The following is a 27,428-nucleotide window of genomic DNA, read 5'->3' as shown; positions in this document are numbered from 1 at the left end:
AAATTCATTGAAAGAGAAGCTTGAACGAGTTGACTAAAGAGCACTAATATTTGTAGACTGCATTTTCTTTAATGAAAGTGTGCTGTATCTGTATGCACAAACATTCATGAAAGTGCTCACTGAAATAAACTATATACTCTAATATTCGGTAAGGGATCTCTTTACTTTCTGAAATTATCCATGACTTTTTTTTCTAACCTCAGCCCAACTTTCTCCTGCTTAGGAGTAAATAATCTGATAGCCTCTCTGGACATTGACTAACACTAAACACAATCAGGAAAGCAAATCATTTTTACGATTAAATTTTAAAAAATAAAGGAATTTGAAATAATCTACATTAACGTTCCTTTCCTCTCACCATGAATTATAGAAAATTGATAGTTGATACAAGTGGAAAGTTAGTTCTTGAATAGCAAGAAAAGTATTTTAATGATAATCTAATATGAACATCCATCATTTTATTTTTGTGTTAGACTAGAGAGCGCAAGAGGACAAAGTTGCTCAAACTTACTCCAGCTGTGACTCTGACCCTGTCATAATCTTCTTGAATATTCTTCTACAATACAAACTTTTGCACCCTCTTCTCCTTTCCAAGATATTTTGAAACTTATAATTTTAAGATTAGGTAAGGCAATGTCATAGAACTATAGCTAGTATATTCTGATCTAGGAAAATATTGGCTCTTCTTCATTTCCTTACAAAATTGCTTTAAATGTACATTAAAATAATCGGTTACATTTTAGAAGAAATTTATAATAGTTAACATATTTACCATTTTAGACTCAGTCTCTAATGGCTGTTTATTCTTTAGTATTGAATTAACAGCAAAATCAATTACAATCAAATTTCTACCTGTGACTTTCTGACGGCCTGTTGGAGTTGTTTTACTTCCTTATGCCTCTAGTCACTTGTGCTCACTTATAACAAGGAGATAAACCCGTTTTTAGTTATTTATCTGATTGTTCAAAAGGTTTATGTGATATTTGTGTCTGCCTGAGCCCCTTACTACGTCCTTTTTTTAACAGTCCAAAAGCATAAACCAAAAGGAAGTAAGGCTAATCATAATTGATAGACATATTGCATTATGTAGCATCGCTTTAAGATTACACAGAAAGATTTAATATAGAATGCATAAGAAAAATTTAGTATTACTATTTAAGGTAAGCAAAGGTCAATTTTCTGTTCCTCCTCTGTCCACTCTTGACAGGAACTAGAGCAGAATAACATATTTTTCTCTAATTGTAGTGTTAGGACAAACATAAAGCATTCTTTCAAAGAAGTCAGTCGATACAGCATTTGGTAGGTTCTTTTCTTTGTAATGGCAAATTTAATCAAAGAAAACTTTAAAGCAGAAAGATTGCAATATCCTGTTAAATTTTTTTTAATAGAAGTAATTAGTTTATGTATCACTAACAACAGAATTGCTACTCTAACATGTATTCCACAACCCCTGAATCTGCACAACAGATTATATTTTGGGAACCTGAATAATAGTTTAGATTTTTCTATGTGCTTTAAATATAAATTCAGAAATAAAATCAGCAAAAATACAAAAGTAGTCAATTTTTAAAAAAATGTTACTTATCTTTTTCCACAGAGTCAAAAGGGACAAATGGACATCAGATATCCTTTTAAATACTTTGCAGTATCTAATTTAAAACAAAATAATCTAGAGCAAAAAAAGAACAAATCTACAATTTTAAAAAATCAATGAGCAAATAAGTACATTAAATGACAAAACAAATAAAAATATCACAATTAGGGAAAATGACTTCTCAAAGTGGTAGTTCTGTCCAAACCTTTCCCAAGAGACATTAGATCTTCATGTTATACTTTATTATCCGGAATAAGATTGTTCTTTCTTCAGGGAAATAGAAGAAGTGAGCGATCTTCAGGTATATTATTTCCTTAAACTAGCTTGCAAGAACTTACGGCACACAATAACTTATAATAAAGGGTACCATTAATTGATTATTCACTCTATGCCAGGCATGAAACTAAATCGTCAATTGCGTTAACTCTTTTGATCCTCTAGGCAGCCTTTTGAAGCAAATCCTAGTATCATCCTTATTTTTATAAATGATGAAACATTTAATAAAAAAGACATTCCTGAGACATAGAGAGGTTATACAATGTGTACAAGTCACACCACTGTAAATGGAGAAAGCTAAAGTTCAAACCTAAGCAATCTAATATTAGAACCCATATATCAAACCACCTGCTTATGCTGCTACAATATGCTGTTTATTCTGAATTTAGGAAGAACATGAACCCTTACTCTTCTCTCTCTATACTTGAATGACATGGGTATAACTCCAATTTCATTAAAAGTCACAACAAAATCCAAACTCCCTGTTGCTCCCAGCTGCTATTCTGAGAAGTCTAAAGTATGTTAGTACTTCATGGATACTAAGGCAGGCACCATAGCAATACGTTATTTTCATCCCTGCCTCTACTTGCCCCCCGTCCTCCCATATACCCCTACCTTTCTTCTACTCTTTCCCATTAAAGTATAAATTATAGTGTCACCCCAAGTAGAAAGTAGATTCTGTTGCATAAAGCTTATTCTCTCTTCTTTCTTCAAAACCAGCAACAAACTCCCCTGTCCTCATCTTTCTGAATCTGAATGTCGCTATGTGACAGAGAAGCACAGGCTTTCCCAATGGTTTCTCTGCAATGGCTTTGTTTGTTTGGCTGACATGTCTTACATCCTGATCAGACTGGGGAAATTCTCTAAATTTAGAGTCTTGTATTGCTTTTGCTTTTTCCTTACCTTTGACCCTTTCTAGCTGCCGTTCAGATAATTAGATGATCTATATCCACATCACAGCACTACAATTTCAAACAGGTTTTAAATTCCACTCACCACTGATTAGTTTAATGGGTTTGGAAAAGTCACTTCATCTCTCTAGTCTTTTCTTTTTTTTAGTATACCCATAAAATAGGGATAACAATAACAACAATAACGTAAGAGTAATAATACTTAACTTACTGGGCAATGGTGAGGATCACATGAGATAATATATATGAAAAAAACTCTGAAGAATAAGAAAGTGCACTTAGTTATTTTGCTGATGACATCATTACCACTGCCATTACAGAAATAAGTAAAGTCAAATGCTCATGCACCAAATAAGTGGCCTCTTAATCTCCCCTCCAAGTTGGGCAGGGGTGACTAAACTAATGCATATGATGTACAAGAAGGAAACAAATGAACTCAATTACTCTGAGAGTAAGAATTATAAAGCAAAACAAGACAAAATAAACATGCACATACACATGATGTCACATTTCTACTATTTAATGTTTACATTAAGAGAGGATAAGTCAATGTTGTATTGCAGAAAATAAGCAAGCTGGCAAATAATTAAGTAATTAGTGGAATTGTGGAAAGAGCATGGAAACAATGGTACCTCAGATGTTAACAATACAATCATGGCAGGGCGCGGTGGCTCACGCCTGTAATCCTAGCACTTTGGGAGGCTGAGGCGGGCGGATCACGAGGTCAGGAGATCGAGACCATCCTGGCTAACACGGTGAAACCCCGTCTCTACTAAAAAATACAAAAAATTAGCCGGGCGTGGTGGCAGGCGCCTGTAGTCCCAGCTACTCAGGAGGCTGAGGCAGGAGAATGGCGTGAACCCGGGAGGCGAAGCTTGCAGTGAGCCGAGATCGCGCCACTGTACTCTAGCCTGGGCGACAGAGCGAGACTCTGTCTCAAAAAAAAAAAAATCATAATAGGTGGAGGTCATAAGCAAGTCAATATTAGTTGTTTAACCACAAGAACCAAAATAATTGAACAGCATATTAGACTGCTTCTAAAAGTATTAATTTGATATTTTCCAAAGTGAGATAGCCCCTGCACAGACAAGATTCTTGACACTTTCTACATAGTGTATTGGCCAAGACAGCTTGCTAGGATTTTGGAAGGCTGACAACCTTTGTTGAGTGTCAGCTGTCTCTTCCAGGAGGACTCAGAAACTGGGAATTCATTGTTTCCATATCATTTTCTTTCTTTTTTTTTTTTTCATTTTGAGATTTTTTGGCGATTTAGGTAAATTGAAATATTTTAGTAATGTTAAATCAAGAGTGAAACACATTTCATGGAAGCATGTGATAAATTTCATTTAACATATTGGAAACAAACTGCCAGTAAATGTTTCTATCTGGTAATGGACTAAAAAATCTTCATCCAAATGAGAGGCAGAGGGAAGAATTATCATTCAATATCACCTGAAATTACAATCACATTCAAATAATGGTTTTCACGTTCTATTTCCTCTCAACCCTTTGAAATTTGGAGCAACAGGTATTGTGTTAGTCTTCTGAAATCCAGAGTCTTTTTTCCCCATTAACCATGCTCTGTACTCTCAGCAGCCTATTGTCTAGTCCTTATACCTAAGTTATTTTTTGCATGTTTACTATTATGGTGTTTCTGTTTTTTTCTCTGGTTCATTCCTCTTTATTTTCTTCACTTATTTCTCTACAATTATCTACTTATAAATGTGAGCATTTCCTCCAGCTCGCTCAACAGTTCTCTTTTCTCTCTGTTCCACTTTCTCTTCTTTAGTGACAGTATTTTCCTTTTTGGAATATGCAGCCATCTACTTTTAGCTTTATAAAATTTTAAGCCCCATTTCTTGCTCAACTGTTTTGGAAATCCTGCCAGAAATAACAGCAACCACAACAGAAAAATCCTTGATAACAAAAATTACACCTTTACTGTTAACCTCATATTTTCTGGAGTCGGGCAACAAAATCGTGATTTCTCATAGTTATCAAAAAAGCCTGTACATTAATTAAAGCTATAACAATCAAGTCTGATTGCTGAAAATTCATTCTGTGCTCTGGTCTGTTTCATCACTCACGGGTGCCGAAAGAATGCTATGTAGGTTCTTACCAAAACAGGTGCTTTTTGTTTCTTTAATCCTACTTAATTTAATATTTGGAGTTTAAATATACTTCCATTTTTTTCTCTGTGATAGACTTGTTAAAGAAACTCATGTCTGATTAAAATGTGCAAGTAACTATGACTTAAGCTCATAAAATGTTAATATAATATGCACAAATATTTTAAACAGTATATATTTATCTTTATATCTTGAATTATGTACTAAAGAGTTTTTTTGCTATTTACTTTTCATAAATAATATTTTATTAATTTTCAGTGTGAAAAACCTTCTTAACATTTACTTTCAACCTGATAAGACTCTTTTAAAACGTTTGAATATTTTAATAACCAAGTAAGAGGATTCTTCAAATGTGCTTAAATATTATCATTAAAGATAGTTTTATAGAAAGGACCAAAAGAAACTTTATTATCTAAAAGTTTCAAGAACTTATACAACAGACTAAAGCAGGACACAGAACTGGATGACACATTGGGAATTGCCTAATTTAACTTGCTCATTTTACACACGAGGAAATCTGCTTAAGAGGTGTTTCATGATCTGCCCAATGTACTATAATCAATGCCTCTGACAAAGAAATTCTCACTGGAACTTGCATCCTCTGACTTCTAATATAAACATTTCAAATAATCAGAAGCAATGCTTTCTGTTAAATCTTGAATAAGAAAGCTTTGTGGAAGAATTACATTCAGTTGCCTTAAATTTATTAACTACCTGGTGGGAGATAAATTATACGTAGACAGTTTTTCAGCTCTAAATTTGTGTAGGTCAAAATATATTATCAAAGTTTACAATGTCACGATGACAGCTGTGTCAATCAGTTTTAAACAAAATTAATGAAAGGAAGTGGCTTCGACTGTATTGTTGTTGCTCACTTTTTCAGTCCTGATACTTTAAAGACATGGTTAACAAGAAGCCTGGCTGGAAAGTCTGCACAGCAATGGCAGGAGCACACAAAAGAAGGGACAAAAGTGGTGGTGGGGCTGCTAAGAATGCAGGCTGCTTGTCCTTTTTCCAAGTGCTAACTAGGATAGAGGCCAGTGGCTTTTAAACTTTTCTAACAGAGAAAGAAATATATTTTACATTGTGATTCTGTCTCCTCCCTCCTCCACTCACACTCCTAAAAAAAGTTTCAAAAATAAACTCTCTTACAGTAGGTAATGCAGTATGACTTCTCAATTTTAGTCCTTTTCTTCTCTTCTGCTGTGTGCTATTCTATCAGTCTGTTCTATCTTTAAAAAAATTTTTTAAATGTAAATCATTATTCATTGAATTGATTTGAATACCACCGACCCATTAGACTACGGCCCTTCCCTGGCAGAGAACTTGGGGCACTGTGCTTGGAGATCGGCAGTGTTTTAGGAAGACACTGTCTCAGAATCAGCTCCAGTGAGGGGTGCTGGAAGCAGCCTGAGCTTCATATAGAGAAATATCCATCTTCCCAGTCCTCTCTCAGTTTCCCTTCTTCAACCTCACGTGGACCTCTGACTTAGAGGGATGGACCTCTTTGCCTGGGGATATGGTTAACCTCTTCCTCTCTCTCCACTTCAGGAGTAAGTGAGCCATAACTATGAAACATTTGATACTCTGATGTTTCATACATGATTAATCTGTGTCTGTTACCCATGTTCAATCTGGGTATATGCCTTGTGCACTATCACACTTTCATTTCTAAGAACATACTGTTGAAGGTGGTTACGATTTCTGCATGGGACAGCGGGTGAGCCTGAAAGAGCATTGGATATCATTTTGGAAGAAAACCTTGTTAGCCTATTTTTTAAAAATATGCACGACCTCAAATAAATTGTATAACACCGTTAAGCCTTAGTTTTTTCATCGGTAAAATGGTTGTCATAATAGTAAATCCTTTCTCCATCTCTTTGCAAAGCATAAAACACTACTTATTTGCCTCAACATCATTAGAGGTTATTTTACGAAAAAGAAATTTAAGACCGTGCCACCCTGAATTTATAAAGTGCAAATCTGAATTAAGCAGTTAGAATCAACCAGAGAATAATTTATAATTTTGGAATCATGAATTTAGTTTCTGTTTTGATGGATTACTTTTTAAAAATATCGGTGGAGAGATTGAAAATAGAAGTTTTTTTGTTTGCTTTTTTCCTTTTGTCTATTTGTTTTGATTTTCTTGGATTTGTTTTAAAAATTAGTATCAGTAGTCATACTTTCATATTTCTGATAAGAACTTAGTTTTTTGTTCTTGCAGGCAGGCTACAAACAGCTTTCTTGCCTGCTGTTAGAATATCCTGTCTATTCAAGAAGAGCCCTATGTCTTTATTTTTTTCTGTCATGCCTGGGATGTGCTACTATTTACATATTTTCAAAACACCTTGAAAGGCTTGATAAGAGTCTCAATAATAGATATCAGTATATTTTTAAGGTTCTGAAACTAAGCTTTAGGGTCATATTTTGGACACATTATAGGTTACAGGCTTCAGAATAGACAAAGTTCAGAGAAATAACCAATTGTAAAGCCAGGTTGTATTGGTGCAAAACCACATAGATTAGGACAAAGGATATATATTTTGTCAAAAACTTTTTAAAGAAGAAAGTGAGTGTTTTTCAAAGTTGTTGAAAACACATTATTATATTGTTACACAAGCATCAAACAATGTAATAGGTCCATTTGTTCATATTATATGTGCAGGAATCTCAGAGTGGTAACATAATACATATACATATAATAATATAAGGGCAAAATTTGTGTTCAGAGAACTAGTGTGATTCTTTTTAAATTATTGTTAATAGGTTTTATTGGTTTTTGAGAGTAGTTTTAGTTTCGAAAAATAGTTGAACCAAAAGTATAGTCAGTTTCCATAAACTCCCTTACCTCCTTCTTTCCCTAGCTTCCACTATGATTTGTAGTTTGCATTAGTGTGGTAAATTTGTTACAACTGATGAGTCAATGTTGATACATTATTATTAATAAAACCCATACACAAGGGCTCACTCTTTGTGTTGTGCATTCTATAGGTTTTGATAAATGTATAATGACATTTATCCATAATTATAGTATCACACAGAATAGTTTCACTGTCCTAAAAATCCTCTGTGTTCCACCTATTTACCCATTCCTCCTCTCTAATGCCTGATATTCATTATCTTTGTACTGTATCTAGTTTTGTCTCATCCAGGATGTCATGCAGTTGTAATCATACCATATGTAGCCATTTCAGATTGGCTTCTTTCACTTAGTAGTATATATTTAAGATTCTTCCATGTCTTTTCACAGTGATTGTTTTATTTTTATAAGCTAAAATCGTTTTCCAAAATAAATGAAAACTCTTAATTTTATCCAGCTCTGAGTGTAATCTTTGACTTCCGGTTTACTCAATATGTGAGCAAAAGTAATTAATTATATAAACATGATTATTACTCTCTAATAACATGAAGAAAAGTTGAAGATTATACTCTATGGAAAAATTGCAAAGAGGGAGACTATTGTGGCAAAAATAAGGCCAAGGATTATAAGCTATCAATTATATGATTAGATTATCAGTAAAAGTTCTATATATCCACCTTCCCAGGGGTTACATCTACTTGGACATCTGACAGGCAACTCAAATTGAACATGTTCCAAAACTAAAAACAGTATTTATTTCTCTTAAACTTGCTTCCCCCCTTGTATTCCATATAAAGGCCATTAGCATCGCCACCCAACCATTTGACCAAGTTAGAAACAATCTAGGCTTCCTGCTTTCTATCCCTCCTCCAAAGCAATTATACTGTAATTAATAGGATTCTACTTCTTCCCTAATATTAATCCTTTTTTACTGGTTTATTGCTCTCCCAATTTTTCATTGCCTTGATCCAGTCCATTGTTATTTCTCAATAGATTACTACAATATTGTAAATGTTTCCTACTCTCTGAAACATTATCTACACCACTTCTAAAGTGAGCTTTCTAATGTGAAAATCTGATCTGTATATTCTCCATCTATGTCCATTTCTAGAACATGAAGTCTAAACTCCTCATCATGGCACACAATGTCATCAATTATCTTATTTCTCGCTACTGTGTCCCTCAAGCCACACAGCTCATGAGTAGCAGAGCTGGGATTTAAGGCCAAGCAGTCTTACTTAAGTCTGTATACTTAACCTACTTAATCACTGTGCCAGGCTATCTCATGTAAGTTGGAGGCCAGAGAAACCAGCTACAGACCTTCTTCTATTGGTATATTTCAAAATTCAGATGTGATTCAAATTCTTCAGATAAGTCAGTCAACGTGCTAATTGCTTACTTCTTAAGTGTATTAGATGCTATGATCACAGTCAACAAACATTTAGGACAAGGTATATGTAGCAATAAAAACAAATGTAGTGCACTTGAAGCATCTAGTTGAAATTTTAAGGTTGAAAGAGGTTCCCAGAAATTGTCTAGTTCTTGATTCTGTTTCTAATATGGTTTTAGAATTGGACAACTTGATGAGTTTTTCTTTTTCATAAAGATTTCCAAGGGTGAACATTTTTATTGTATCTCTTAGTTATCTAGTTAACTTCAGTTAAGGATGGAAACATTCTGCTTTTTGCTGGAAGTGAAGCAAATGAATAAAATAAACTGGATATCAATGTCCCCTCAAAAACCTTTCCTCATTAACAGAAAATGTAATCAAGGGATTTTAGTAATTCTTCACAGACTGGCTCTTTTGGCAGACAGTCAGGCTGACTTGTAGGTACAAGCAAGCTACCTCCACAAACAGTCAGGAAAAGATCTGATTGTGATGGGCATTATGCTGACATTGTAAAGAATTGATGTCTGTTTTTCCCCCCAAATATTGTAGGAGAAATTGAAGTTTGATTTTTTTGCCTTCGTAAATGACTCACTGTTCCCTGAGAAGGTCTGATTCTAACTTTGTAATTTTCAAATCACTTAAGAAATATTAGTGAGAAGAGGCAGGCTCACAGGGAAGTAGAAGTATGGGGAGAAATAACTAAGTTGGAGTGTAGGAATCGGCGGTAACCTCAACATGGATTGGTGGAGAGATGTCAGTAAAGTGGACAAGAACTTACTACAGGTAGGGCAGAGCAACAGAAAATGTGCTGAAATATATCAAACTAAGACATTTGATAAAGACGCACATTTAAAATATTGTCATAGATTTTGTAATCAAGCATGCTTAAACATTATTTTCCATATTAGTCACCACAGAGAACTCATTCCTTTGATATTTTTATGTAGAACGTTCTTTAGAAATTGATTTTAGAAGTAGTTTACATGTTTGTTTATTTTAGGCCATGACTTTAGGGCCATAAAAACATCATACATATTGATTAACACACCACATTCAGAATATTTGGCTCTGAGTGGCTTTTTGTTGTTTCCATGAACAAAGTACCCCATAGAAGGTGAGAATGTCAAATGAATGTATTGTTTCTCCAAATAAGTTTTTGAAACTCTAATAAACATTCTGAGTCAAGGATTCAGCATTGTGATTATAATTGTAAACCTTTCCATGTCAATTGCTTTAAGGTGGAAAACCCTCAGTTGGGTTTAGAAAGTCTTAAAATTTAAAATATAATGGAATATTATTTTATAATCTGGTCTTTTCCATTAGAAGAACGTGGTCAAAATTCATGTAATATGCTTATTATTTCCAAAAGAATCATGGTGTTCCAGAAGCAGTTAATGAACCTAGGTCAGTGGTATGTTCTCCACCCCAAACCCATGCTGTTTCTGAAAGAGGAGGCAGGAACAAATCATACTCAGTACAATTCTCCAGAGTCCAGTCTGGTGGCACATGTTACTTCATGTGCAACTTAGTTAAAATGTGCGCACAGAGACACACACACACACAAAGCCTGTCAAAAATTATTTTTAAAATGAGTTCAATTGTTTTAGATTCCACATGTAAGTGAAAACATGCATTATTTGTCTTTCTGTGCATGGCTTGATTTAATTATTCTACAACGTATTTAATAATCATAATATTACTTGTACCCATAGATTTATACAATTCTAAATTGTCAATTTACAATAAATTTGTTCTTAATTTTAAAAAGTTATTTTTTAAAAAATGCAAACCTGTCTTATTAAAATTAAGAGGAAAGACTAAACTTCTTAACCCCATAAAAATGTTCTTGCAGTTGTTCAAATTAATATAATGCTTCCACAGTACTCTTTGGAAATCCTTGTAAATTTCTTGTTTGCCTATTTGCCCTGCTGCTCTGCTGCTGTCTTCCCATCACTTTCCAGGAGGAAATGGCTTTTTAACAAGAAAAATCCTCTTGAAGTTACATTTCCAAATGGGTCCTGGACACAGCATCTGCAATGCATTGTAACATTTTTGGTCTTTTTAAAAATTCTCATTGTTAAAAGCATAAGTGGCCAATACTCAGGTCTTCTGCCACAGCCATCACAGTGATTGACTACAAATTGAATTGAAGTGTGTACTGTGAATTTTCTTGTTAGAAAATAAAAGCTTTCAACACAAAAAAAGAAATTATATTTGATGGCCTGAACCTTACAAAATTAAGACCTAAAAATATAACCCTGTTTTTTAGTAGAAATCAATAAAGAATAGTGTAGCTCAACCTCACCACTAATTTTTTTTTTAAATGTCCACTTCTGGGAGAGTCAGACACTAACAAAGAATATGCTCTAATGGTGGGACCAAGATGTTCTGGATATTCAAGGACTATTTCAAATATCTTAGGAAAACAAAGCCAAAGCACTGAACACATAATTCATGACAAATCCATGCTATTGGAATTAAGAATTGTATACTCAGTGAAGTTTCAATAGCAAACATTATAGTGATATTTAATGTAAGGTATTGAGGGAGTGATATTCTGTAGTTAAGATGCATGGAAAGGAAAGGAAGAACAAAACTGACTGCTGCTTTTAACACAATGATGAACAAAATCATTAGGATAAATAGACCAACTTCCAAATCATAGTCATTATCTGTGGATAATGCAGTCTGACATTAAATGTGGTATCAGTATACTACTCTAGTATATTCCTAGCAATATCCTACATACAGCATTAATGTGACTAGATATTTGAGAAATACATTCTTGTTTCTGGAAGATAGTGACAGCTAACATTTGTGGAGCACTTACTTTATACCAGGAATTTTATGTTGCCTCACTTAACCTTCCCTAAACCCTGTGAGCTTCTGTTATGTGCGGAGTACTCAGTAACTCTTTGAAGGAGGTAATCAAGCAGGAAGGATGATGTCAGGAAAGTGACCATATAGGTTTTGGGCAAGCTCAATCTTTGGTATCTGTGATCCCATGTGACTCAGTTTCAAACTCAGAATTATTTGATTAAAATTTTAATACAGGACAGTGTTGCCTCGTTAAGTGAGAAGACCACTTGAATTTTGTTTTTGTTTTTGTTTTTCTAAAAGTGAATGAGATTGGTTTTTTCCCAAGTTGGAGTTCTATTTTGTTTTGTTTTAGGAGGTTAACATCTCTATACAGCCGTGCCCGTAAACTCTGGAAACGTTGTTGAAGTTCTTATCTTCTCGTTTCTGAGGAGAAAATCCAAAATGACCATAATATTCAAGAGGAGCAGGTTGTAAATCTCTCTTCAAAGCAAAAAACAAACAAACAATAAAAACAACTAAAAACCACCACCAACAAAAAATAACATTTTAAATACCTGGTAGCTACTAGTAGTTACTGAAAGGTAGCAGATTGCAAAACCAGGACTTAAAGATAGTTGGCAGGAAATTCAGCTCCCCAAATTGCAAGAGTGTTAGTTTATACTTTTTTAGATGTCAGTTTTAGTAGGAAAAAAGATAGGCAGTTACTACTAATTATTCAATAGAGTTCGTATTGTCCACTGTGTTTCCTTTGACCAGATTTTCAATGATTAGGACAAGGTATGGGTCAAATATTGCACCATGTTTTAGAAGGGCTAGGAAAGAGAGATATTCCCTTCTTGGTCTGATTGTCACAAACCCAGCAACCCATAGAGCATTTTTGGAATGTGCACATGTTTAACACCTGGAATTATAGTCATACTTCATCCGTCACCAGAATGAAAAGCCAACGGCTGACTAAAGGAGAATTTCTGAGGCAATTCTTCTGGAGCTAGCAATATACCCTACTTGTCATCTCTCAGATATGAGCCTTTAATCCCCTCTTCCTAAAATTGTTTATTTTAAAATAAGAGAAAGGCTAGGGATGTTACAACCGAGTTCTGAGCTTTCTCTTTTAAGAATCTAATCCTTCAAACCCATCTTCAGCAAAGAAACTGGCATTTCATGTGCTGAGCAGATGATGTTCTGCAGCTCTGGCCAGCCCACATGTACAGCTGGGCCGGTCTGACACACAGGTGTTCTAATTTGGACCTTCTTAAAATTCTGACACCATACTCTCCTCCATTGGGAAGTATGACTTGGCTATGCTATTTGCTAGTGACAACAGTTATACTGACTTAACAAAAACAGCTCCAGCTAAGGTGATAACATAATCCTCTGGCTCAGACTGAGCTCAGATCGAGGGTGTGTGGTGTGTTCTAAGAGTCTGGGCCAACGTTTTGATTTTGATTTCCTCTTTTATATTGTGTATTGTCATTCATGTTTCCTCCCTTCACCTCTCAGAATTTTGGGTACTTCTAAGAAGGGCGGAAACATCCCTTGGTGGGAAAAATGCTAGAGTAATCGAACAAACAAAGCTAAAAATTTGTACTGAAATGGGTGTTTTTTTCAATCATTGGTAAATATTGAGCAACCACATTCCAAAGGTAAGTAGTCTGCAAGCATTTAAAAATGAGAAAAACTGGCAAATGTATAAAACTTTTCATAGCATTTGACAAAACAACTGTAAAAGTAAAAGGAGATTTCAAAAATATAGGCAATAAAGAAGAAATGTCATTGCTGTTCCTTCTGCATAATCTTTTATATAATCCTTTCAGTCTCACCAAAAATATTTCTCAGTGCAGAGCCCAGATGTTTTGAAGTTTTTTTTTTCAAGAAAGCAATATTTAAGAACTTTTCCATTCCTTTCCATCTTAGTAACAGCTGCTTCTAACAACCGCTTATAATAAGCATGGCTAAATAGGAAAAATAATAGTGGAAATGAATGAGGAAAGTAGATTGTATCACAGTTTAGAGCTTTATATTGTGTCGTTACTTGGTCTCTGATTCTCTCTCTCTAATGAAAACACAATTTTTAAAATTGTCTCAATTAGTAAAACCCACTCATCTTCACTCAAGTGTGCCTTGAAAAATCAATGGGCTCTGCCTTTAAACAGCTATAATTGCTAAGCTCAAGAGGAAACTAAAAAATTATTATCCAGAAGGGATTTTATCCCATTGCATTAAGATAACTTCAACCTTTGCCATTAATCTAAAATGAACCATATATTGAAGAGATATTCTGATTTTCAGAGAGGAAGCTTTGTTCTACAGAATGGTGAGCTTGATATTGATTCTGGACTACATTATAGAATGGATAAAGTCAAATACTTAGGGAAATAGAGAAACCTAAGAAACAACATAGGTTTACTCAGAATGAATTATGACAAACTAATTTCATTTATTTAACATGGGGACTGGTATGAGTATGACATTTCGTCCTCACCATCTCTAGTCGCTCCTTTTGTGACTTAATGGTCTTCCAGCTTTAAATACCACTACATGCCAATGACTCTCATATTTATATCTGTAGGCAAAATGCCTCTCTTGAACTACACATTTATATATTCAAGTGCCTACTTAACATTTCCACTACTAAATATTTCATATTCAGTATGTCCAAATCCCATCTTTTCCCTTTCCCAAACCTGCTGCACCCATGGTTTTCTCCATCTCAATTGACGGTAAATCTAGTTTTCCAATTGCTCAACCAAAAGCCTTGGATTCATCCATAACTTTTCTCTTTCCCTTATACTCATATTCAGACCATTAAGGAAGCCCCTTAGCTCTATCTTCAAAACACATCCTTAGATCCAAAAAGCATCTTTGTAAAAGTATGATAGTACCTTACAGAAAAATAGCTAAAAACAGTAAAAACAAATTAAAAACTAGAATAAAAGTTGCTCACCAAAAAATAATTTAGGAATTTAAATTAGGCTGAATAGGATATATAAGGACAGAGCAGAGCTTTCTAAGAAAATAGATTTATGCAAACATGAGAAATATCTTTATTTTGTAGTCTAGGGTTTGCTTTTCTCTGTCTACATTTAGAACATTAAAAAGAATTGGTATTCTAGAAACAAATTAAATAATCAAATCTGTCACGGCCAGGGCAGGGAAAATTACCAAGTAGCATTTGTTAAACTTGCTCTATAACAATAGAAAACTTTTATTTTCCACACGTTAACTGTGTTTTCTTCATGTCTCTAATTTTTTAAAAGTTTTCTTCTATGTTATGGTACACATACAGCAAACAGTGCATGCTAAGCAAACAAGGAGAATGACTTTTTAGATTTTCCACGATGTTCTCTAATGCTGTTCAGGTAAGATGGCGACTTAGCCCCCCAGACTCAGACTTTCAAATAACTTTGCTCTAATTTGACTCTTTGGAAGAGCAGGCCTTATTTGTTGCTTAAGGTTAAGAAAAATTATATCACACAAGAGGCGTTATGACAATGTTACCACACCATTTATCATATGTTCCAATTTTTATCATAAGTATTGAAATTTTCTCTTTGAATTTTCACTCCTATTACCAATATTCTTTATCTATCAGAGTGGTACATAGACATTTGAGGGAAATTGTATTTTGTTTTAGCAAACAAAGGCATCTGCTTTTGCCTAAATTTCAGGTCATTCTGTGACCCCATTAACAGAAATTAGTATTCATGTATTAAGAGAGATGAAAAGGACAGTTATTTAACTGACACTGTGGTATTCACAAATTAACCAACAAAACAGATTAGAGAGCCTAGATATAGATTGAGACACAGATCATTGAGGGAAAAAGGAACTATTTAAAAAGTCATGCTGGAAAACATTGGGTAACAATGTGGGAAAAAGTGGTATTTGAACACTATGTTACTACATACAAAAATTAATTTCCAATGAATTAGTGTTTTAAAGGTAAGAATACTAGTTTATCCAATGTACTATGAAGAAAATAGAAAACAGGCCACTAATTGGGAGATGTATGTAGTGCCTGTAGTCAACCCAAATCCTGTATGTCTAAAGATTCCTGTTTAGAATATACACAAAATCCTATAAATCAATAAGGAGTTACAAGAGAGATAAACAATCCAGTAAAAATGGGTAAAATACATGGAGAGGCATTTGACAGAAAAGCAAAATAATGGCTAATAAGTATTTGTATAGGTCCTCGATCTTATTAGTAGCAAAGAGAATGCAATTTAAGATACTGATCTTCCCTTTCATGACATTAGATTATCAAAACTTTAGAATATTAACAATACCAAGTGTATAGGTACCTATGTGAAACTTTAACATTATGGTTCATGGGGGTGTAATTACGGCAATCACTTGGCAATATCTTATAATTCTGGATATTCATATACATTATGATCTTGAAATTCTACTTCTAAGAATATAACCCACAGAAATGTTTCAGCACATGCACGAGAAGATATGTTTAAAATGGACCATAGAACCACTGCTTGTCATGTCAAAAGACAAGAAACAACCCAAATGTTCATGATCAAGATAATGTATATATAAATTAGGGTAGATTAACACCAGGGAGTTAACATTGGTGAATAAGTAAATAATCTACAGTTAGGAATAAACATGAATGAAGATTTGAAATACAATGGCTACTGATAGAAGACTGTGTGTGTGTGTGTTTGTGTGTGTGTGTGTAGAACCTATTTTTAATTTTGTTTATAATTGACTAATTGAGACATAATTGTACATGTTTATGAGGTACAGTGTGATGTTTCAATACATGTGAACATCGTAAAATGATCAAATCAGGGCATTTAGCATATCCATCACCTCAAACTTTTATCATTTATTTGTGGGGATAACTTTTAAATCTTCTTTTCTAGCTATCCTGAAATATACTATGCATTGTTATTAGCTATAGTTGATTTTCTATGTAATAGAACACCATAACATATTCTTCCTATCTAACTGTAACTTTGTACCCCATGACCAGCCCCTCCCCATCCCTCTCCCTGCTCCCCTCCTTTCTTAGTCTCTGGTAAACACTACTGTAGTCTATAATTCTATGAGATCAACTTTTTTAGATCCTACATATGAGTGAAATAATACAGCATTTGTCTTTCTTTTCATGGCTTATTATACTTAACATAATGTCCTTCAGGTTTATCTATGTTGCTGCAAATGACAGGATTTCATTCCTTTATATAGCTCAATAGTATTCTATTGTGTATATATGCCACATTTTCTTTATTCATTCATCTGTTGATGGACTTTTAGGTTGATTCCATCTCTTGACTATTGTAAATCATGCTACAATAAACATGAGAGTGCAGGTATCTCTTTGACATGTGGATTTCAGTTCTTTTGGATATGTACTCAGAAATGGAATTGCTGTATCATGTCATAGTTCTATTGCTAATTTTCTGAGGGAACTCCATACTGTTTGTTATAATGGCTGCATTAATTTTCATTCCCACAAACAGTGTATGAGTTCCACTTTCTCCACATCCTTGCCGGTATTTGTTATTTTGTCTTTTTGATAGTAGCCATTCTCTGCATTTCTCTGATGATTACTGATGTTTAGCATTTTGTCATATAATATCTCTTCTTTTGAAAAATGTCTATTAAAGTCTTTTGCCCATTTTTAAATGAGATTATTTGTTTTTTGCTAGGGAGTGGTTTGAGTTCCTTATATAGTCTAAATATCAACCCCCTGTCAGATGCATAGTTTGCACATATTTTATCCCATTTTGTAGATTTCCTCTCTGCTCTCCCCATTGTTTCTTTTTCTGTGTTGAAGCTTTTTAGTTTGATGCAATCCCATGTGTCTATTTTTGCTTTTGTTGCCTGTGCTTTTGAGGCCCTATCTAAAAATTTATTGCCCAGGCCAATGTCATAAAGCATTTCTCCTGCATTTTTTCCTGGTGGTTTTATAATTTCAGGTGTAACTGAATTAAGTAGTTAATCCATTCTAAGTTGATTTTTATGTATGTGAGAGATAGTCTAATTTCATTCTTTTACACGTGTATATCCAGTTTTCCCAGCACCATTTATTAAAGAGACTGTCCTTTCCCTAATGTATGTTCTTGGTACATTTACTGAAAATTAAGTGGTTGTAAATGTGTAGATTTATTTCTGGGTTCTCTATTTTGTTCCATTGGTTTATGTGTCTGTTTTTATGCCAGCACTATGCTATTTTGTTTACTATAACTTTGTAATGTATTTTGAAGTCAGGTATTAATAGTATGATGCCTACAACTTTGTTCTTTTTGCTCAAGAGTGCTTTGTCTATTCAGGATCCTTTGTGGTTCTATACAAGTTTTAGGATCGTTTCCTTTATTTCTGTATATCATCTATTTTTTAAATAGATTACCCAAACAAGCAAAGAAAAGATAAATAATATGAAGGATAGTGGTAATTTTGGAGGGAGTCAAGGAGTTGGGATAGGGGAGCTACACTAAATAGAGGCAAATTATTGGTATTGTTATAGTTCTTGGGTTGGATGGTGGGTTCACTCTTGTGGTTGATAATCTAAAGATGTTTAAATATATTTTGCATTTATAAAATATACTTAAAATATTGAAAAATATATAAAATATATTAAGAGATAATATAAAAGAAAGATCTGAGAATCTTTGTCTAACTTGGGGACCTTCCATTCAGGTAAGATACCTGCAGATAGGAGTCAAGGGAGAGGCAGATACCTCTGAGTACATCCTCTGAAAAGTGTTATTTTAAAAGTAATTTATAGAGAGCATATGCTGCAATATCATGATAAACAGTATTAGAGAAAGTTTTATAAAAGTAGAACTTGGACCTTAGAGAATGCAGTTAAAGCTTTTACAAGTTTCCTCCAAGAACAAAGACAAAACCCTTTCCCATTCTCACACTTCCCCACCTTCTGGAATATTAACTTGATATATGAACTAGTATATTCTTCTGTTACTCACCGTCTTTGAAAATATCCTATTTTGAGTACTTCTTACCTAACTTAGACACACTTTTCTTTTAGAAAAGCATTCATGGCTCCCAGAAACCATCCCTTCTGCAAAACACATCTCCATCCTATTGCTGTGACTTCCTAGGAAATTGGAGAGAGATGAAATTGCTTTTAATGAATGAGGAGAATAAAGAATCATAAAGTCTCAACACAAATAAATACTGATGAAATTTATTTTAATCATACTTACAAAAAACTGTTGCTGAATTGTTCTACTGTGAATGTTCTTTAATCTATTTGCTTCTTAGCCTTCTTACTTATAAAGTAAGTGATGGGTCTTAAGCTGTCATAAAACAGGTTTAATTTCTTTAAAATCTGTGTTTAAACTTTTCCTTCAGCAATATTATGTACATGGGATATGAGATCTCTCAGCACTTTAGCTTTGGATAAATTTGCTTGTAACACATGGAGGGTGTGATTAAAATGATTTTTGTTATTTAAATGGCAAGCTATATCTAGTTAGTGACTTCCTGTTATAAAGGTAATGGAGGAGGTGCTGCTACTCTTTAGGAGCAAAATAGAAATTTACTTTTACTAATATATTAAGATAAAAAATTGTCCTATGCCAGTGATTCTTCAAGTTTGGCCAGGACTCTTTTGAGAAGTCTAAAAGTTCAAAACTCTTTTCATTAATAATACTAAGGTGCTATTTGCTTTTTCTCACTGTATTGACATTTGTATTGATGGTGCAAAACACTTTGGGTAAAATTGTTGATACCTTAGCAGAAATCAAACTAGTGACAACAAACTGTATGTTGTGTTTTTTATCAACACACTCAAAATAAAATTATACACACCCACACACACACACACACACACACTCAGACAAAGATATATGCTAATTTCCCTTAGGAATGTCCATGATGAAGCAGCAAATGTTATTTTATTACATGTTGACTCTCGAATACACGTATTTTAGTTATTTTGTATGATGAATGCAGAGTATGTGTAAAACACTTTTGCTTTTGCTGCATACCAAAATATAATTGTGCAATACTTCAGCTGCAAGCTGGACTGATAGCAATTTTTCACCTAAAAAGAATGACTGACAAACAAGATATGGTTAATTATACTGAATTATTTAGCAAGTATATTTTCAGAAATGAACAAAGTGAATCTTCCACTTTAGGAAAATCAACTCATAATATTTGTTGCCATGATAAGCTTTGAGCTTTCTAGGTCCGCAGAATTCTATGAACCCACATTTTCTAAATGAACAATGAATGATATTACAAAATCACAGTGTAAAGTAGACCCAAAGAGTTTGATTGTCACAGATTATATGATGTTCATCAATATGGTTTCAGATTCCATATTGCAACTAAATTTTAAGAAACTACCATCTGTCAAGTTTTGTTGTAGTTATCAAAGAAGACTATTCATAATTATATGAAAAAGCTATTAAAATACTCCTCCCCTTTCAAACTACATATCTGTGTGAAGCCAGATCAAAACATCCACCAAAAAAATTCAGATTGCAAGAGACTGGATGCAGAAGCAGATAAGAGTATCCAGCTGCCTTCTATTAAGTGAGACATTAAAGAGATTTCTTAAAATGTAAAACAATGCCATCATGCTTCGCTCTACTTTCATTCTTGAAAATTGTTTTTAATTAAAATATATTATTTATATTAATATCTATGGGTTTTTAATGAATTAATAATTTTTTTTATTTTCTAATATGGTAACTATTGATAGATACAACAAATATAAACAAAAGCACTTTGGGGACCTCAGTACTTTTTAAGACTGACAGTGTCCTTAGATCAATAGCTTGAGAACAATTTCCTTAGGCAAATTATTATTCTTTCCTTTCCAATAGTTAGTAGAAAAGTAAATAAAAATTTTCAGGAGTTTCAGGACGTTACAGAAGTAAAAGGAAGGCAACTCGATCCCTTTTTTTTAGTTTGGTGTTCCAGTTTCTGAGACTTGACACGTCTTACTAAAGTTGGACCACATACTTATTCTCCTAATCTTTATTGTGAATCTTTTATGCAACAAGTATTGTCTAGAAGTAGGAATACAGAAAACAGAATATATGTCCCTGTCCTCTCTTAGAAGGATTATTTAAATATTGGATTTGGCTTAAATTGATAACAGTGAAACATCACATGAAAACAGCAATGTACACTTAGTAGATTATTTCAACTTAGAAAATAGGAATAGAATTATTATCTATTTTATTACCTAATGACTTCATACTTAGCTGTCCTAATAAGGGGTTAAAGCCATACTTTAAAGGGGAATCACTGGACACTTTATAGTTTTAAGTTGATGAGGCTTCAACCAAGAATCATGCTTGTAATTTAAATAAAATCACATACTATGAGTATAAATATTGTATTATTACTTGTTTCCTACTTTGGGGGAGGGCAGCCTACTGATAGGCAAATCAAATCACTCATTTACGTGAAAGGAAAAAACCCACAATTTTTTTAAGTGTAAAAAACAGCTAATATAAGGCTATGAAGTGATGGTAAACTTCACAGATGGAAAAATGCTTTGGGATCCCTAGAGGAAAATAAATTCTTTTGAAGTATAAATTTGAGGAATTGAGGCACAGTCACCTGGGGCCAAATTCTTATTCTCTGTAATTCGAGGAGAATTCCCACAGAATTACAGAGACTTAGAAACTGGTTAGCAAGTACTCATTTAAAGAAAAGTCTCTGTTAGCCAAAGAGCCTAAAATTGCTTTTTGCGTAATAAAATGCCTGATTCCACTTTGATACTTGTTCAAGAATGTCCCTTCCAATGCTGTGTCAAAGTGAGGGCTTGTGTATTTTATTAAAGTGACTTACTTGAAAAATATTGCTGTCCCTTTGCCCTCCCCCAGCTGCAAGTTCCCATGTTGAAGTATGATTTCATAAATTTATTCTGAAATAAAATTTCATTTTTCCTTTGCTCTACCCTTCCCAGCTGCAAACTCCTACCCAGCTTTGTGTTATAATTATTACATATGTTAAAATAAAAACTCATCTTCTCTCCTCACCCTCCCAGCTGCAGATATCTAGCTCTTTTGTGGTTTTATTCAGATTTTTGTTTGTAGTAATATTTCATAAATACAGAAAAAGTGCAGATTCTCTCATACCTCTTTCCAAGCTCACTCGGCTGTGCCAAGTTTCAGTGGTTCTGATTGCTGCCAGTCCAGATTAGCTAAGGTCCTTCTTCTGTTGCAACATTACCTTTACATTTCACTATTTTTATTTTATTTTTGAATTCTTCAGATCTCAAAATGTTACAAAATGAGCATTCAGAAAGAAAGATCATGTTATAAATGTTTGGTGTTAAAATTAATGGGGATTTTTTTTTTCTGTGGTTGAAGACAGTAGACACCTACCTTTGAACTGATCCTTTAGTAGGTAATCTATAATGCCTGTATGTTAAAGATGTAAGTCTGTAAAATCATTTTGGTGGTTAAGAAGATATACCTGGTTCTATCACAGTAACCCTTGATGTTCACGTTTGTTTCCATTTATCAGATTTGCAAACAGAAAATCTTTATTTGGCAGCTTATGAAAAGATATCAAATATAATCAAATATTCCTGATCATAGAGTAAGGAACTGATATTTCTGTTAGATAATCTAGTTTTGATTACGTTTCTATGTCATATTTCTGCCTGACCTTGAAAATTTCTGCTTAACATGTCTAGGAAACTCTTCTATATTATTAGTAGCACTAAAGTAATTTTATTTGACTTATAAATTTTTAGACTATTGAACAGTAAAAACTTGGAAACAAGTGTAAGCCTAATTAGACACTAAGTAAATAATTTGAAGTTCATGTGTGCATGTCTGTTTAGGTATCCCTGTGTATAGGAAATATTGAAAGAGCCTTGGCCCTCTCTCTTTGATCTTCTACATTGTGGCTCCAAGGCAAATCTGATTGTCTCTGCCCTTTAAGATAAAGCCTAACTGCCTTAATATAAGTTACAAGTCTATGATTTACAAGATTGCTTATTTTTGCCTAACACGGGGTGCTTTTTCTTTCTCCTATTAAAAATTCTACTTGGATATCTCTTACTCATCTTATAGTCTAAAATCCTATATCACTTTCTCCAAAAAGCCTTTCTTAATTTCTCAAAACCAGATTTCCTTCTAGGTGTTCCAATAGCGCATCATATTTATCCTCATTATAATTATTGCTGTTCTAAATATTTTTGGTCAGTATTACTGCTCACTTCCCATTTCCACTCAAACTGAAAGATCTTATCTTTTTCACCATCATACACCCAATGTCTAGCATGATAACAAACACAGAATAGATGTGTAGTAAATATTACTTGAATGAATGAATAAATGAATATTGAATTATACATTTTTAAGGTCCCTCTCAACCATGAAATATGATTCTATGCTGATTTTCACCTACGTGGCCTTCATGGGTTTTAATGGTGGTGATCAGAAATTCTCTATTTTCTTTTGGCTCTGTTTTACCAGCAGCTGAAACATAAGCTGGGACATAACTAGTAAAGAGCAATGGCATTGAATCAAACAAGTTTTTGCCAGGAAGAAACGGTCAGGAGGTGATATCGGGGACTAGTTTGGGAAGCTTTCTCACTCTGGGAAATTGATGTTTCCAAAGAAATCACCAAGCCTGTACAATAACAATCAATTGGAATCACCTCCTACTATTCACTGGAAGTTCTAGCAATATCAAGTATGTTTTTATGTATATACACTTATGACTTTATCCACACCAGCTCCTAAGCTTAGCTACACACTAGAATCACCTAATGCCCAGGCCACACTTCAGACCAATTAAATCTCATGATGTAAAATCTAGGCATCATTAGTTTATAAAGGTCTTCAGATGATTTCAGTGTGAAGCCACACTGATATCCACTGCACTTCAGGATGACAACAGAACTGCTGATTTGGAATCACATTCAGATTTACGAGCATGTTCAAGGACAGGCATTTTTGGGTTAAATAATCACCTTCAGTTGTGAACTGTAGCACCATCACACCCAAAATATTTGCTTTCTTTTCAAATCATTTCTTATTTTGTAGTGTTTTTATTCAAAATATATTTATTTTAAAATATGCATGACATTTCAAATCTATGGATAAACGGAGTCACTCTGATTATTTTCAAGAGTGCTAAAATAAATGCTCTATTTTGGCAAGGAAATACAATACATATGAAGAAATAATCTGATTCCTTAGTGCTACTTTGCTTAAACCATAATGATAAAGAACTTAAAATGTTTAGGACCATATGAAGAGAGAAGAGAGCCTTCATTATTCCTGGGTCTATTGACTCAGGGGGATATTAAAATTCCATGTAGAAGCATCAGTTTACAAGTTTAAAAATCATCACAAACAAATCACCTATGCTTTATAAATTCAAGATCTCCCACTGGAGGAAAAAAATCACTAAACTAAAAAAGTAAACTTTCTATAATTGTTGCTTTTCCAAGATATATGCACCCATTTATTTTATTCATTATCTCTGAAGACTTTCAGTCCTATTTGAAAGAATGTCTTCTATTTATGACATCTAAAAAAAAAAAGGACTGTTCTTTTGAAAAGTGTTCTGAGTCTATCGATGTTCGACATGTTTGTTGTGTTAACAATACTTATTTTCTTTCACCATCCTCCTCCAAAACAGATACATTTAATAAGGTAGGTTAAGATTTCCTTTTACTTAGCTCTCAAAGTGATGTACTTCCCATTCAAAAATTGAGAACAATATTTTAGCCAAAAGGTTTTTATTTAACAGTTATACATGTCCTTAATTTTCATTTAATTTGCTTTCTATAAATGCAGGACGCAAACCAAAGATTCTCAGCTGCCTTTTCACTTGTCTTTCACTTGAGTTAGATTGAGAGGTATGCAGTGTGGGTGTGGGGAAGGGGCGAGCAGAGTAAAAAGTGGAAACCACCTGCACTCAATTCAGCCATCAAATTAATCATATAGAATTTAACACTTGACAAATATGTGCAGTTAACATGATCTTGGAGTCATTAAAGATTTCAAGCAGATCCTAGAAATTCAACCCAGACAAACAAACCTTCTTGGTTACTAAAAGATTGTTTTCTGAAGGTATTCTTTTTTCCCACAACCAGGTGCTGCTAAGTGCAGAAAGAGGATCTGAGACCAGGGAGGACTTCCTCCCTGGGGTTTAGTTAGGTTTATAGAAAAATGAACTGCTTTGAAATTATCATTGAGATGCTGAAATTCTTCCTTCTGAATCACTCTATAATACCCTGCCCACATTACCAAAATTATATATTAAAAGATGATTGTCATTAATAACACATGAAAATGGTTTGCTTTTTTAAAAGTTATTTTAATGTGAACCCCCAAACCATTACCTTCTAGCTCTTTAATTTTTGTTTCCAACATTTACCTTCTAGCTCATTTGCTACATTCTAGCATTTTGATTGCTTTCTAGACCTTTGGTTTTTAGTTTCAATATAATCTTAAACGTTGGAATTGTTCTCTGAAGTAATGATTAGTTTTTACCCAGAATGGTGCTATTTACTTTAAGTCTCTTTGCCTTTAATGATACTCATTTTTGTAGAGATAAGCTGTTTTAAAACAAGGGACTATAGTAGTCCCTGAGAAGCTTCCACAATGATTCTGATGTACTGTCAGATCTAGAAACCCACTGCTCTAGAAGTCGAAGTTTATTAGATGAGGCTGAACAACTTCTTGTAAGTAGGGTAGCTTATGCAGTGGAAGAAGATACTTCTACTGATAACTGTATGGTCATAATATAGTTTATCTAATGGTGAGTATATGAATCTATCAGAAACTAAAAATGAAATGCTAATAAAATAAAAATCTCCTCATTTTAACTCCCTACTGAAAAACATCTTTGAGACTATCCCTACCTCTTTAATTGCAAGTTCAGAAAAATAATGTAAATGGGACTCGTGGGGAGCTTGACTGCATTCATAGCATACACCAAATACCACCCAAGGAAGAAAGAATATAATGATGTCGGAGCACCATCAGAATATCCACATTTATTTGGGGAGGACTGTGTTAAAGGCATCAAGAAGGAAGAAGCAGATCTTCTAGGACTTTTTGTTGATTCATTTTTTTAAAAAAATTATATTTTTTTGTTTTCTATGGCTGCTGTAATTAATTACCAGAAAATTAATGGCTTAAATCAAAACAAATAATCATCTTTTGTTTTTGTTTTTTTTTTTTTTTTTTTTTGAGACCAAGTCTCCCTCTGTCACCCAGGCTGGAGTGCAGTGGCACGATCTTGGCTCACTGCAAGCTCCGCCTCCCGGGTTCACGCCTTGCTCCTGCCTCAGCCTCCGGAGTAGCTGGGACTACAGGTGTCCACCACCACGCCCAGCTAATTTTTTGTATTTTTAGTAGAGACGGGTTTCACCGTGTTAGCCAGGATGGTCTCGATCTCCTCAAATCGTGACACGCCCGCCTCGGGCTTCCAAAGTGCTGGGATTACAGACGTGAGCCACCGCACTCTTATATATGTCAGAAGTCCAAAACTGATCTCACTGGGCTAAAATCAAGGTGTCAGTAGGGCTGAGTTCCTTGCTCCAGGCTCTCAGAAAGAATTCATTTCCTTATGTTTTCCAGTTTCTAGAAGCTTCCCACATCCCTCAGCTCCTGGGTTTCCCTTCTTTCATGTTTAAAGTCAATGATAGCAGGTTGAGTCCATTTCATCTTACATATCTCAAACCTTCCTCCCTTAGCAACATCTCTTTCACTATAGCCTGGAAAGCTTCTCCAGTTTTAAAGACCCTTGTGATTAAATTCTGTAATTTTATATTAATTCCCAGATATCCCAGAATAACCTTCCCATACAAAAGTCTTAATTACATCTGAAAGTTCTTTTTGCCACGTAAGGTAATATATTCACAGGTTCCAAGGATAGATATCTTCGGGGGACTATTATTCTGCCTACCATAACATGTGTGACCTTTAGGCAATTATTTTGTTTGCCATGTCTTCTATAATATGTAGAATTATAGAATTGCATAGTGAGGCAAATTTTGAGATTTTATTAGTGGTATTTTGTAGCAATTACATCTGCAGTTAATTCAGGTAACTTATGGATAATGGCAGGATAGATGTTACAGATTCTTAATTGGAGCTTTGGTCTAAGTCATCCTCGAACATTTCTTAGGAAGACATTATTGTGAATCCTAACATAGGTCTGTCAATAATAACCAACACAATTAGTTTTTCTTCTGTACTGGAATAGATCACTAGAATTGTGATCTGGACTGAGCACCAGATACAGTAGTTAGTAGATGAAATATCCATATCTCTAAACACTTGAATCACAGGTCAAGTGAGATGCCCACAGCATGAGAAGCACTTTGAAAATGAGACTGAGTAATGCTAGCATATTCATATAGCCAGTTCCTCACTGACTCTGCTTATGTGGTCTGGAATGGTGGGCTTAATTTAAATTGTTCCCTTTATTGCATTCTATTTTATTGATTCTTGTTCTGTATCTCTCT

At 34.0% G+C, this 27,428-nt stretch overlaps 1 protein-coding gene across 1 annotated transcript in view; it reads left to right on the top strand.

Moving 5' to 3' along the window:
• The window catches only part of DKK2 (dickkopf Wnt signaling pathway inhibitor 2), a 114,512-nt gene that overhangs the window by 4,825 nt on the left and 82,259 nt on the right, over positions 1 to 27,428 (top strand). The window lies entirely within an intron of this gene.

This window comes from Homo sapiens, chromosome 4, assembly GCF_000001405.40.
Source record: "Homo sapiens chromosome 4, GRCh38.p14 Primary Assembly".
In the NCBI taxonomy this organism is placed as follows: Eukaryota; Metazoa; Chordata; class Mammalia; order Primates; family Hominidae; genus Homo; species Homo sapiens.
Note: the sequence above shows the minus strand (reverse complement) of the source record. Positions and strands in the feature narration are given on the sequence as shown.